The sequence below is a fragment of the Homo sapiens genome, chromosome 2, assembly GCF_000001405.40.
Source record: "Homo sapiens chromosome 2, GRCh38.p14 Primary Assembly".
Taxonomy (NCBI): domain Eukaryota; kingdom Metazoa; phylum Chordata; class Mammalia; order Primates; family Hominidae; genus Homo; species Homo sapiens.
The window spans coordinates 78,984,412-78,997,959 of record NC_000002.12 but is presented as its reverse complement, the minus strand read 5'-3'; the positions used below and the strand labels follow the sequence as shown (position 1 = coordinate 78,997,959).

The 13,548-nt window shown below is 42.9% G+C and overlaps 1 annotated feature.

Annotated features, from left to right (window-relative positions):
• Positions 3,897 to 4,563: an enhancer, noted in NCBI's record as "H3K4me1 hESC enhancer chr2:79220523-79221189 (GRCh37/hg19 assembly coordinates)". NCBI's record gives its function as "activates a minimal SCP1, AML or CMV promoter by ChIP-STARR-seq in primed H9 embryonic stem cells {active_cell/tissue: H9 hESC(primed)}" and the evidence as "EXISTENCE:reporter gene assay evidence [ECO:0000049][PMID:30033119]".

The following is a 13,548-nucleotide window of genomic DNA, read 5'->3' as shown; positions in this document are numbered from 1 at the left end:
TGCTGGACACATCTCATCTCCCACATGCATTTGAATGCCAAGTGTCATGTTTTCCAAGAAAGGAAGTTGGCCCCAACTCTGAAAGCATTTGGGGCTTCTGCAAGTGAGTGAGGAGGATGTGTGTGTGCGCAGCTGTGTGTTTTATCATGCTGCGTACCTGCTCCTGATGTCTATCCCCTTCCCTGTAGTGTAGCCAGTGTCTCTCCTCTTATTCCAAGGTGGCTGTATCTGCCAGGTGTTATTCTCAAGCACCTCAAGCCTGAAGAATAGGGCAAGCTTTCTCTTTATTTTATTGTTTTAAAATGTTTAAATTGTAGTATTTAAGGTGTACAACATAATGTTTTGGTATACATAGACCTAACGAAGTGCTTATCACAGTCAAACAAATTAACATAGCCGTCTTCCCACAGAGTTACCTTTTGGTGTCTGTTGAAAGCACCTGAAATCTACTCTTGGCAAATTTCCATGATTTGTTTTCAACTAGGATGTGTGAACTACCATATCCAAGGAAAGAAGCTGTAGGTGGAGTCAAAACCTTAGGAAGGATTAGAAGATGCAGTGAGGGCTGGCATGGTGCCTCACGGTGTAATCCCAGCACTTTGGGAGGCTGAGGCGGGTGGATCACTTGGGTCCAGGAGTTCAAGACTAGCAGAAAAGTTTGAGACCATGCAAAACCCCATCTCTACAAAAAATACAAAAATAGCCAGGTGTGGTGCCCATGCTCATGATCCCAGCTACTAGGGAGGCTGAGGTAGGAGGATCACCTGAGCCTGGGAGGCAGAGGTTGCAGTGAGTTAAGATCATGCCACAACACTGTAGCCTGGGCAACAGAGTGAGACCCTGTCTCAAGAAAAAAAAAAAAAAGAAGATTCAGTGATGCAGTGAAGAGAAAATAAGACATTGCACGCTGCTCCCAAAGGATTTCTGCAACTCAGATTTAGCACAATGCCAGTCTATACTCATGCACCTTATCTTCTGTTCCTTTAATTACCCAAGAAAGGAGAAAGGAGCAGCAGGCTGAAGGCTTGCAGTTCAGATTAATTACAGTGACATTTGTTTGCTCCACTTTAGACAGAGGCTGTGATATTCTGGTGATGCCCGGGACACATGGATGAAGGTAATAACATCATTGTTATCCAAGGGGAGGACCTGGCCAGGAATGAAGGAGATGGTTTTATTGACTTGTCTCCTTGGGACTTTAACTTCCTTTTACACATACATATTTTTTAATCCAATGATAAATCTTCCTTCTACATTTACTAGTGGTTTTATTGATTTACCAGAGACGGTTTGTGAGAATTATAGTCCGTATTTGGCTCAGGGTAAAGCAAAACCTCTAACACGGATTATTAACCACTCATACTCTTCATATCCAAGGCTGTGGTAGATGTCCAGAGAGGACCTCCCTGACCCTGTGCCTTGAGTGTTTGGATGACCACTCAGAGGAGTTTCTGAGGGAGGCTCTGGTGGAGGATGTGCAGATGGACTCACTACTATTTAGAGCACCTCCCAAATTTAAGATGCTGTGATTCTTCTGCATTTTATAGCAAAATAATGCAACTCGCCCTTCAGGCCCCCAAATCAATGCAGCTTATTGATGTAAGAATTCAAAATAAGCAAATCAACAACCCTTGGACCTCAACAACCCTTGGAGCAGCCCTCCTTTAAAAAAAACTCTTTAACATTTTTCAAATTTATTTTTTAATTGACAGATACAATTATATGTATCTATTGTGGACAACATGATGTTTTGAAGTGTACAGACTGTATATTGTGGAATGGTTAAATCTAGCATTACCTGACATAGTTATTTTTTACTTAGCTCAGAGTCAAATGTTCACTAAGTGCCTTTGTGTGGCAGCAAAGCCTACTCATCTGGTCTATTTGCTAAAACCAAATACATCAAATATGCCGCCTTCTCTCAACTTTATTTGATTGACTTTTTTTTCCTTATGAAAGAATCTAAAGGAAGGTTGTATTTGTCTTTATTCCAACTCCCTGTGTAGTTAGAGACCAAAGGGTGGAGACTGGAGAAGGTTACGGACATATGAATAGCTTTTTTTTTTTTTTTTTTTTTTGAGTCGGAGTCTCGCTCTGTTGCCCAGGCTGGACTGCAGTGGTGTGATCTCAGCTCACTGCAACCTCTGCCTCCCAGGTTCAAGCTATTCTCTTGCCTCAGCCTCCTGAGTAGCTGGGATTACAGGTGCCCGCCACCATGCCCGGCTAATTTTTTGCATTTTTAGTAGAGATGGGGTTTCACCGTGTTAGCCAGGATGGTCCTGACCTTGTGATCCACCTGCCTCTGCCTCCCAAAATGCTGGGATTACAGACGTGAGCCACTGCACCTGGCAAGAATAGTTTTCTTAAAACATACTTTAAAATGTAATAATTCTTATGAATAAATTCCTTATAGTTTCCAAAAATAGATATTCAAATTTTTTTAATCGAGTGAGAAATACCAACCACCGTTCAAAAATGTGAAACAGGCACAAAATTATTGGATGTCGGTAAAATATTTAAAGTTGCGATTGTTTGATTTTATCTAACAATTAATGCCTTCTGATGTTACCTTTACACTCTCCCTGATAGCATTAAGCTTTATTTTTCTATTACTATTACCATTATCATTATTGTTTAATATCTTAGGGCTTCCACTAATCAGTCCCCAGGTTTTAGACTTCATCAAGTGGAAAAGAACACAGGAGGAGTCCAATAGATGTGGTTTCAAATTGGGAGATGGCAGTGGAAGTGGGGAGAGAATGAAGATGGAGCTTAATGAGAAGCACCAAGACATGATGTCCAGGAGAAAGGTGCTGGCTCTGAGATGACAGCAGAAAGTGGAGTGGGTGTCAAAGCAGCTGAGAAGGAGGAGGGAAACCCAGAACTGCAGATAGGGCGCTTCTACAGAAAAGAACACTGGAACAGTTGGTGGCTGCTCACAGCAGTGGTCTAGGAGGCCCTCTTCTGGAGGCCAGATCCCCAGTCCTCTAAGGGCTGGAGGTAGGTGGCTTGGGATGGAAGCTGCTGGAAGGAAAGACAGTTTATTCTTGGAAGCCAGGGTGCACAGTAGCCTGTGGGATATGGAGAAGGCTCTGTGGGGTTAGGTGAGGCACAAAAGACTCCTGCAACCTCTTCCCTTCCCCTGGTGGCTGGGAAAGCAGCTCCATGGAGCCTCACTGGAGGTTCTTTAGCCATAGCTAGGCTAAGAGGACATGAACCCCCTTAGGATAAGCCAAGTAGAGCTTCCTTTCAAATCAAATCGTAGCTTTCATTTTCTCTTCCACAAGAAGGGGAAAACAATAGTAATGGACTCATAGGTTTAGTCAATGAATATTTTTTAAGCAAGTAAAATCATGACTACAGACACAAAATGAATTTGTCTCACATTTTACCTAGCTCATTAAGTAAGGGAGACAGGAAGATGTTACAAGAGGTCTAAAGAGGGGGAAAAAAAAGCAGGGCTATTTACAGATTTATAAAATGGCTCCAAGATTATGAAGGAGCAGACAGACCCCTCTTAGATTCTGAATGAGAACCAGAAGGGCGTGCTCTAGTTTTTCAGTGAAGCACACAATTTTCCCTGGAGTTGGTTCTGAGGATTAAGAGTTCTTGCAGGTGGGCATTTAGGATGTTATAAGCCAAGGTAAGCATTGACCAAAAGAGCTAGTATCTTTGGGGAAAACTGGAAGTGGACAGAGAAGGGCATCCCCTGAGGCCGGAAGAGGAGGATGAGAGAAGTGTGTCACTCAGGTTTTTAGGACGGTAAGATATAATCCTAATGACTAATGCATGCTACACACCTCTCATGTGTCAGGCATCGTTGTAAACCTTTCATGCAAATTACTACATTTCATCTTCCCAGCAGCCCTGTGAGGAAGGAGGCACTAGCACAGCATTTTACAGGTGAGCGCACTGATCTCTCGGGGTGTCAGTGGATTGATTTCCTAGGGGTGGCGACGTCGTAACAGTAGTTCAGAATGGCGCCTCCAGGATGGGGTCAGAAAGCGAAGTTTGGGGACAGACGATGATGGCCGGGACCCGTGCTGGCGCAACCAGGGGAACCAGGGAGGGTCCAAATGAGGGCGCTACAGTGGGGGCCGGGCTCAGGGCGCGGGTGCCAGCACCTGAGAACAGCCGACAAGGGGGAACCCTGGGGAGCCCCAGAAGCGGGCAAGCCGGGCAGCGGTCAAGAACAGCTCACCCCGTTGTAGTAGAGAGGGGGGCTCTGCAACACTTTCCTCTAGAGCAAAAGACTGAGGACCCTCGGACGCCTACAGCAGGATTGGGGCTCCCGGGAAGGGCAGGTTAGAGCATCCCTGAGGGGTTTAGAATGGAAAGTTGGAAGACAGCAGGGAGAGCAAGCAGCAGGGAGAAGCCAGGTTCTTGAAACTACGGAGAAGAGGGGAGAATGGGGCTGGGGGACAGCATCTGAGTGCACCTGAGATAGGTCACAGTGTGAGTTAGGGACGAGAGGGAAGGTAGATCTTGGAACCCGGTAAAGCGGTAAAGCAAGGCTGCTCTATCCCCCGGCGATGGCAAGGGCACCGATGCGGAGACGTTGGCTGGAGGCGGAGCGCACCCCATGCTCCCCTAGCAGCATGGGCACGGGACCAGCAACCGGACCTGTCCAGGGACCTGGACGCAGAGCGGGCGGGACACGAGGAGGCCTAGGACTGCTGCGACATCACAAGGAGATTTGGAGCCGGTGTCGGGCATATGACATGGGGGTGTTCCGGGGCCCCGAGGCGCGGAGAAGGGCGCGGGAGGCTCAGAGGGGAGCCAGTGCCTCTGTGGAAGGACAGAGAGCGGCCCTGATCTCCGCGTCTCAGGTGTCTTGAGTGACAGCTGGCGGCGGAGTGCTGTGAGCCGGAGGGCAGGGTAAACAGCAGCGCGTCTGAGGGGAGGCAGGTGGATCCTTGGCCGCCTTCCCTGAGAAGGGAGGGGCAGGCATTTTGCTTAAGTGACAAGGTGTGGAGGGCTGCGGGGCGGGGACTCAGCGCCTCGGAGTCCCGGATATGGTCTTGACAGTCGTCAAGGTCATTTCTTAGTGAGTTGCGGCAGGTAGTGGCTGACACCGGGACTCTAGCTAGCCTCGGCGGCTAAGAAGAGTGGGGAAACCAGTGCCTTTGGCCCTGAGGAGGTGCGGGTTCTATGGGGCCGGAATGGAAACAAAGGGTCTTTAGAGACCTGGGGAGCAGAATATGGGGTGGGGCTTAGAGAAGCACAGGGTAGCCTCTTGGGGCTCGGAGAGATGGAAACTTGGGGAATTCAGAAGAGAATTGGTCAAGTGCAGCAGAGTCCTTCTAGGGCGCTTAGAGCCACAGAATGGACCGCCGAGTTTCAGGATCCCCTCTGGTGGCCGTTTGGTAAAGCGCAGAAATAGTTCCAATGCTTAAATGTTAAGAGGCAAATAACCTTTTTAGAAAGAGACTGGGGGACAAACAGAAAAAAGAACAACGATACAGGACAAAAGATATGAAGACTGGCCGGGCGTGGTGGCTGACGCCTGTAATCCCAGCACTTTGGGAGGCTGAGATGCGTTGTTTCACCTGAGGTCAGGAGTTCGAAACCAGCCTGGCCAACATGTTGAAACTCCGTCTCTACTAAAAATACAAAAAGCTGGGCATGGGGGCTCGCGCCTGTAATCCCAGCTATTCAGGAGGCTGAGGCAGGAGAATCGCTTGAACCCGGGAGGCGGAGGTTTCAGCGAGCCGAGATCGCGCCACTGCACTCCAGCCTGGGCGACAGAGCAAGACTCTCTCAAGAAAAAAAAACCTAAGGAAGCAGACGTGAGATAGGAACTAGCAGAGGGAAGCTGGTCTGCAGCAGGATCCAGAGGCAACCATCCCGCCTGAACCCAAGGTTGGAGGCCCGCCCCACACAAAAACCGGCCCCCCGCCCCCGACGCCCGCAGTTTCCAGGACTGCAGGAACATGCTCGGATGAGCTGTTCCCACTTGTAACTATCATGTACTGTGCAGAACAGAACACTGGCTGAAATGATTTAGAAATTTAAGAAAGACAAGCAAAAAGAAAAAAAAAATTATTCATTTTGAAAAATAGCCAAATGTGTAGAATGAGTTGCAAAAACTATCCCACCTCCAAACCACCATCAACACCCAAATTGCATATATGTAAAACAAGTGAGTGAGGACTTTCATTTCTTACCCAAATGCCATTTTAACTAAATTTCTAGGGTTATCCAACCGCTTTCACTCAAATAACTTCGGCCAAATCACATGTAATATACAAAGGGGAGTCCAGTCCAGGGCTGCACTTGCGTCCTTTCTCTAGCACGCTTTGAAAAAGAAGTTCAGGCCAGGCGCAGTAGCTCACATCTGTAATCCCAGTACTTTGGTAGGCCGAGGTGGGTGAATCATTTGAGGTCAGGAGTTCGAGACCAACCTGGCCAACATGGTGAAACTCCATCTCTACTAAAAATACAAAAATTAGCCGAGTGTGGTGGTGCACGCCTGTAATCCCAGCTACTCAGGAGGGTGAGGCAGGAGAATCGCTTGAACCCGGGAGGCAGAAGTTGCAGTGAGCCGAGGTTTCGTCACTGCACTCCAGCCTGGGCGACAGAGCAAGACTCTGTCTAAAAAAAAAAGAAAAGAAAAGAAAAGAAAGAAAATGAAGTTTGTTTCTGGACCCTGGACCATCCCTTGCAACTGAAAACACAGCGCTGAAATGAGAAGGGATACCGGAGAGAACTCAGCCCTGAGAGGAGGAAAGGGATCCAGTTGGATCTACATCCTCTTTTCGTGTTGATCCAGTAGTTGTTTATCTTCCTCTGCAAGGTAGTGGGAGCCCTGGACCGTTCCCCAGCTGTAGCCATCTCAGGTGCCCATGAAAATGACTGTGGGTGATAGTATCATTGCCTATCCCTACCATGAATGATTTTTTTTAGGGAGATACACATTATCAGTGATGCTCTGTGGACCACACCCCTAATTTTCTGAATGTTAGTTCTTTCCCTATCTACTTAGAATCCAGAAGCAAAGATCCACTCTGCAGAGGTAAGATAGTGTTGTACTGGCCAAATGCCATGTCTCTATTCTCTCTCTCTGTTTCTGTAAATTTTGAATCAGTTCAATCTTTCTTGAATGCTTTTAGTGTCGGCTTAACGTCTTGGTGCTTCTATTTTAATTCCTTCAGCTAGGATCACTTCATTTATTTGTCCTTTAACTTTTAAAACATGGAGACTCTCTATTCCTCATGAATTAGGGGCTGAGATCAGAAAACTATTGAGGGAGATGAGGAAAACAGATATATAAAACAATTGCAGTAGTTGTGACACATGAATGAGTAAAGGTATGTACAAATAAAGCTAGGTGTCATGGGAGCTGTGTAAAGGGACATTTTAGTTTATCTGGGAGTGATAATTTGACCTTTGCAGGTATAACTTGGTCTTAAAGAGGCAGTGACACTTTTAATTGGGTTTAAAGGGTAAATACAACAACTAGAGCCAGGGCAAAGGTTAGGGGAAAGGGAGCAGCACAGAAAAGTAAATAAAAAAATACGTAGTTGATACAGGTACAATAATGGGATGTATTTAATTAGAGCTAGAACTTGGAATGTGAGAGAGAGGACAGGAGCAAAAGACGGGGAGATGATGTTCAAAAGATGCATGGGGTTTTGTACTGCAGGCTAGAGAGTTTCGATTTTGTTCTATAAGGCAGGGGACACCAATTGATGTTTTAGGAAGACATAATTAGCTAGGCTTTATTACTTATTTCTTTTGTGAAATCTTAGGGCACTATGAAAATGGATTTGAGGATGAGGTAGAGAAGGGGCTGGCAGAAGAGGGGCCATTTGGATGTTGTTTCAGATAGAGTGGCTGAAAGCTGTAACAAGCATTGTGAGAGACAGTCACTGTGAGAATGGTTTTGGTGTCAGATAAACTCCCAGTAAGAATTCTAATTCTGTATTATTTTGGACAACTTATTTAACTTCTTTTATCCGAGTTTTCTGTTTTTTAAGATGAGGCTAATGATAGTTGGGATTATTGAATGAGATAAAATATATAAAGTGGTCAGTGCAATGCTTGGCGCATGGTAAGAACCTCCATGCTAGGTTGTAGAGTTGGGGAAAGGTATTAAGAGTAGGAGTTGGAAACCTAGTGTCTTTCCTAGCATCTTCCTTTACTTTGGCTTACTGGTTACCTGGTGAAAAGGAGATTGATTGAAGAGACAAGGTTAGATGAAGTCTGTCTAGAAAAGAGGGAAAATGAGGGAGAGAAAGAAGTAGAAGAGTCTGAGGTTACAGGCTTAAGGTAGATAGTGATGGATGGCGGTCCCATTGTCAAGATAGAAAAATTAGGAGAAAAAGCTATGGTGGGGGTGGCGGATTCGTTTTAGCTTTGAGATTGAGTGGCCTGCAAAATATCCATTTGAATTTGTTTCAGAGGTATTTGAGGCAGTTTAGGCTGGAGCTCAGATGAATAATCAGGGCTAAATGCATGTCTTGCAGTTAGAAGCCTAAGAGTGATCATTGAGACTGTGGGGTAGTATCCAAATGAAAAAGAGAAGAGGTTGAGGTAAGGATGTTGAGGCCACTGATACAGTTAAGGAACCGGTAGAATAAAAAGCCCAATGAGAATCTCTCAATAATGAGCTCACTGGGAGATAGGAAGGGAATAACAGGAGAGGATTGTAGAAATGAAAGGAACTGCCTCTAGAACAAAGCACTCAACTCTGCCAGATTCTGCTGACCATATGGAAAAGTTAGAACAGGACAACAAACACTGAATTCCACAGGGAGAGATCTTTCAGGGCCTTTCAAAATTGCTTTCAGTAAATTACTGAGTAAATTTGAGACAAATAAATGTAATCATTTAGGATTGAGGAATAGATCACTTTTTCAAGAAGCTCAGCTGTAAACGGAAGAAAGATGTGTCTCTAAGTTCAGGACTAAATAGGGTTGAATGTAGGTTTCGTTTACTTTAGCTTTAGTTTTTACATTGAAGGACTAGGAAGACATAATTGGAAAGGTTTAGACAAAGGGGACGGTTGCCTCTAGGAGGGGGGACAATTCTAGAACACAAGTTGAAAGGTAACCTTAGCTAGGCACATAGGTGGGATATGGTCAGTGGTACAGTGTACATATCTGTAGATGTGAAGAAGAGAGAGACTGAGGAAGCCTTTCCCCAAGAGCCTGTACTTTAATGTAATTGTCAAGAACTCCACCTTCGGAGTCACATTTTCTGATTAATAGCTCTGTTTTTCCACAAAACGACGGTGAGATCGTGAGTAGTTAGCTTAACCTTAAGGTGACTCAGTATCTTCATCTTTAAAAGTGAGATACTGACAGTTCTTACTTCCTGGGGCTGTCAGGAATGCTAAGTGAATTCATACATGTAAGTTAATTAAAATTGAGCCTAGCCATAGGCCTCTTCCATTTGCACTACTGTGACTAATTACCATAGGTTTTGTGGCTTAAGCAATATTTATTTTTCACAGATCTGGAGACTGAGAAGTCTAAGATCAGGGCACCGGCAGATCCAGTGCCTGGTGAGAGCACTCTTCCTGGCCTGCAGATTGCTGTCTTCTCATTGTATTTTCAGATGGTATAGAGAGATAGGAGCAGGCTGTTTTGTCTGTTCTTATTAAGGCATGAATCCCGTCATGAGGGCTCCATCCTTATGACATAATTACATCCCAAAGTCCACGTCTCCAAATACCATCACATTACAGATTAGGTTTTGGCATACAAATTTCAGAGGGACACAAATATTCAGTCCATGGGGCTGTAAGAAACCCTCAATACATGTTAGCTGTTATTGGCAGCAGAGATGGTAAAATCTAAGACTAGATCATCTGCTGAGAATTTTTGAAAGAAGGCAGATGGGGCTGGAAGGAAAAGGTAAATCTTTGGGAAGATGCTATTGAGAACAAAAGAGCAACCCCTGTAGGGACTACCGAAGTATTGACATGGAGCCACCCGAACCTGCTCCTAAAGGCTCCATGCTATCTGGCCTCCTGTAGGCACCAGGGGGTCAGGATCTGTTAGACTCCTAGTGATTACTAGAGGCCTTTGAACCAGTACTTAGTCAATCCACTGCAAGCCAGCTTGACTGCTGCTTACTTTGCAGGCCTAGGAGCCAGGAATAAGGCTGAAAGCTTTTGATTCATTTTTAAATTTAATTTAGATATGGATTGGCAGATTTCTTTGGATAGAATATTAGAATTTGCATGAAGGTTACAATGCTAAAGAATTTAGAGATCATGGACCATATGGTTACAAACCAAAGTCTGGCAAACTACTTGGGTTTCTAATGAATATTTCATTGTGTGCACTTTCTCAGATTTATTGACTGTATATACATGTAGTTCGATGAAATTAGAAAGAAAAGGTCAACAACTTTGTGGATGAGAGAATTTCTATAATATTTGTAAATTAAATTTATGATAGCAATGTTTTGTGATTGTAGGTGATAATTACGAAAATGAAGATCACTCACTGGATTCCAAATCCATGTCAGTAATGATGTGTGGGCATTGAGGAAAAGCAAGCAGAAAACTAGCAATGTTAATTATTAAAAAGCAAAGGGCAGTGAATTAATATTGTGACAAACTGGAAATAACAAATAACTTACAATTATCAAAATCATTTCTAGAAAATTAATAGAATGAACTAAATTTTGTTATATGCATAGTTATATATAAATGTTTTACCATAAGGAAGACCCAGTACTATGACATCATTCTTTTATTTGAGAGAGGTCTTAGATAATATTTGAGGATGTCTCATATACCTCTCAGTTAATAACAGAAAACATTAAAGAATAGAAATAACCAAATTGAAATTGGAAACTAGAATCTTGGAAGAGATTTCCACAGTTATACAGTTCATTAAACTCTTTAGAGCTGTGTTGTCCAAACATTACAGGTGGAGAAATCAGTTTGGTTGTTTGCAACCAGAATTTTAAAACATTGAATAAGACAGCAAATATTAGAGTAGTAACAGCAACTGTTCTATGATATTTTCATTTTGTGTGTGTGCATGTATGTGTGCATATGTGTGTGTGTGTTTGTATAGGGCTGTGATATAAAATGAAAAGTTTGAAAAAGAATATTTTAGAATATATTAGGGAGAGGACACTTAGGTAGAATAGGAAATTATAAAACACACATAAAATTGAATTATTAGCAAATCTTAACAATGAATCAATTGCTCAAGCTCTGTGATATAGTTTGGCTGTGTCCCCAACTAAGTCTCAACTTGAATTGTATTTCCCAGAATTCCCACGTGTTGTGGGAGGGACACAGGGGGAGGTAATTGAATCATGGGGACTGGTCTTTCCCATGTTATTCTCGTGATAATGAATAAGTCTCACGAGATCTCATGGGCTTATCAGGGGTTTCTGGTTTTGCTCTTTCCTCATTTTTCTGTTGCTGCCACCATGTAAGAAGTGTCTTTCGCCTCATGCCATGATTCTGAGGCCTGCCCAGCCACGTGGAACTGTAAGTCCAATTAAACCTCTTTTTCTTCCCAGTCTCAGGTATATTTTCATCAGCAGTGTGAAAATGGACTACACTCTGCAAAACAGATTATTAAGTGATCATTGAGAAGTGTCTTGAAAAGACAAATATAGAGGAGTTGAAATACATATCCAAGTCCGGCTCTTTGTCAGAAGACGGCATGGAATTTAGTATTATTACTAGATCTCATGAAAGTATAAGAATGAGATATCTTCTGATCTGAGGAGACCAGAAACCAAAACCAAGACTTAGAAACTGAAAATATGGCAGGGTTTGAGGCAAGCATAAAAATTTCGTCCAAATTTTCAGAGGTTATTGATAAGAGGAAACTTGGACATGCAGGCAAATTTTTATGTTGCTGTCTTTTCTTTTTCTCCCCTCTTTTAAAATAAATGTTTTGGCAAATAAGATGTCTAACATGAGAAGCGCAGGCAGGCTTCTCTTGTCCAAATGGAAAGTGGTATGTAATCTGTGTCATATTTTTTCCTACTGCTTTTTGTTGGGATAGGCTGATGGCTCAATTTATGGAAAAATAATTGCATAAACTATGAGTCTTGAGTGATGTATCAGTCAGGATCTCCAACTCTTCTCCTCTGTATGTAACTCTTTCGTGGAAGTTAGAATACAGTTTGAGGATAGTTTTGATATGGTGTCTGTGTGCTCTTCTAACCCATGAGTTCCTTAGGGAAGAGACCAGTCATGTTTGTTTTTGAGCCATCAGCACTTTTGAGCAGTGCTGACTTCCTCACAGTAGGAAAGCAATATCTATTCATTGACTTGAACAGTTGAATTAATCTGAAAACAGGAATAAAAACCTATCAGAAAAGTGGAAACAATAACTTAACAGTCATAAGGAGTACCAAAGACCTAAAAGTTATCAAACACATACATTGGTTAAAAATAAATGAAATGCACCTGGCAACTGGTTTAACTCTTTACTTAGTTGTTTTCATGCCTTTGAATGCTTGTTATTTTCTTCTTCCTTAAAAATAATGGGTGACTTAATCAGGAACACTGGTGTCTGATAAGTGGTGTACTTGACTTTTCATTCTTTTCTTTTTTTTCTATGAAACAGATTCTGACAGAGACCCTTCATTTTTGATCTATTCCTTGAAGAGGTGGCATTGCCTAACAATTTTAAGCCCAGTGCCTTTGTTTCCAGAGACTTTTACCTACGTTAAATGCTGTGGCTAAATGCTGTGGCTTTACCTATGTTAAAATGCTGTGGTGGTATTTCTGCAAGTTATAGAACAGCTCCAGTCAAATTGGCTTTGAAATAAAAGGAAAATAGTAGCTAACTGAGCTATAAAGAGTTATCTTATAGGGTTTTGGAACAGTTTGTTCAAGATCTCAGCTTCTTTCTTTTGTGAAGCTGTTGCCCTGTCCATTTTTCTATGCTTATTAGCTTATCTCTCAGATTTACTTTTATTATGGTTAAAACATTTTCAGCAGTTTGAACTCTTACATGTGTGTACTGAAATGTCTGAGTGAATAGAGTGTATCATTGACTTACATTTCCCAGAAAAAGGTTTGAAATTTATTTGTTCTATTTGTTTGGAAGCCTTGGATCACATGATCACCTGTGGACCACTCGTAGGAGTGAGGGAAAAGGATTGGGTGGACAGGCTTAGACAAAGTTCAGTATTCTTTCCTGGCAGTTGAGAATGGAATCACATTTCTTGCAACAATATTGGCGAGGAAGGGAAATCAGGGCGTTTTCTTCCTCTTTTTTTCTTGCCATTTATATGTTGGAGAAATAATGCCGTTTGTTCTGAAAATTTCTACGATTCTTGATTTGGCCGATTGCATCCTCAAGGTGTTATTTGACACACTTTCCAATTCCCTGTGATTCCATCGTGCTGAGCGTGATGATGAGTGGTGTACAAAGAATGAAGAGTCAAGTATGCCACTTATCAGCGTGGGGGTGAGGGAGGAAGCAGATCATGACTCAAGTGCCACATATCTTATTTTTATTTTTACTCTGATTTAGTAGATTTTTTTAAAAGTGGTTTTTATTTGCTGTATGCCCATAGTACAATTTTCAGAGACTTAAAATGCTTCTCATTATG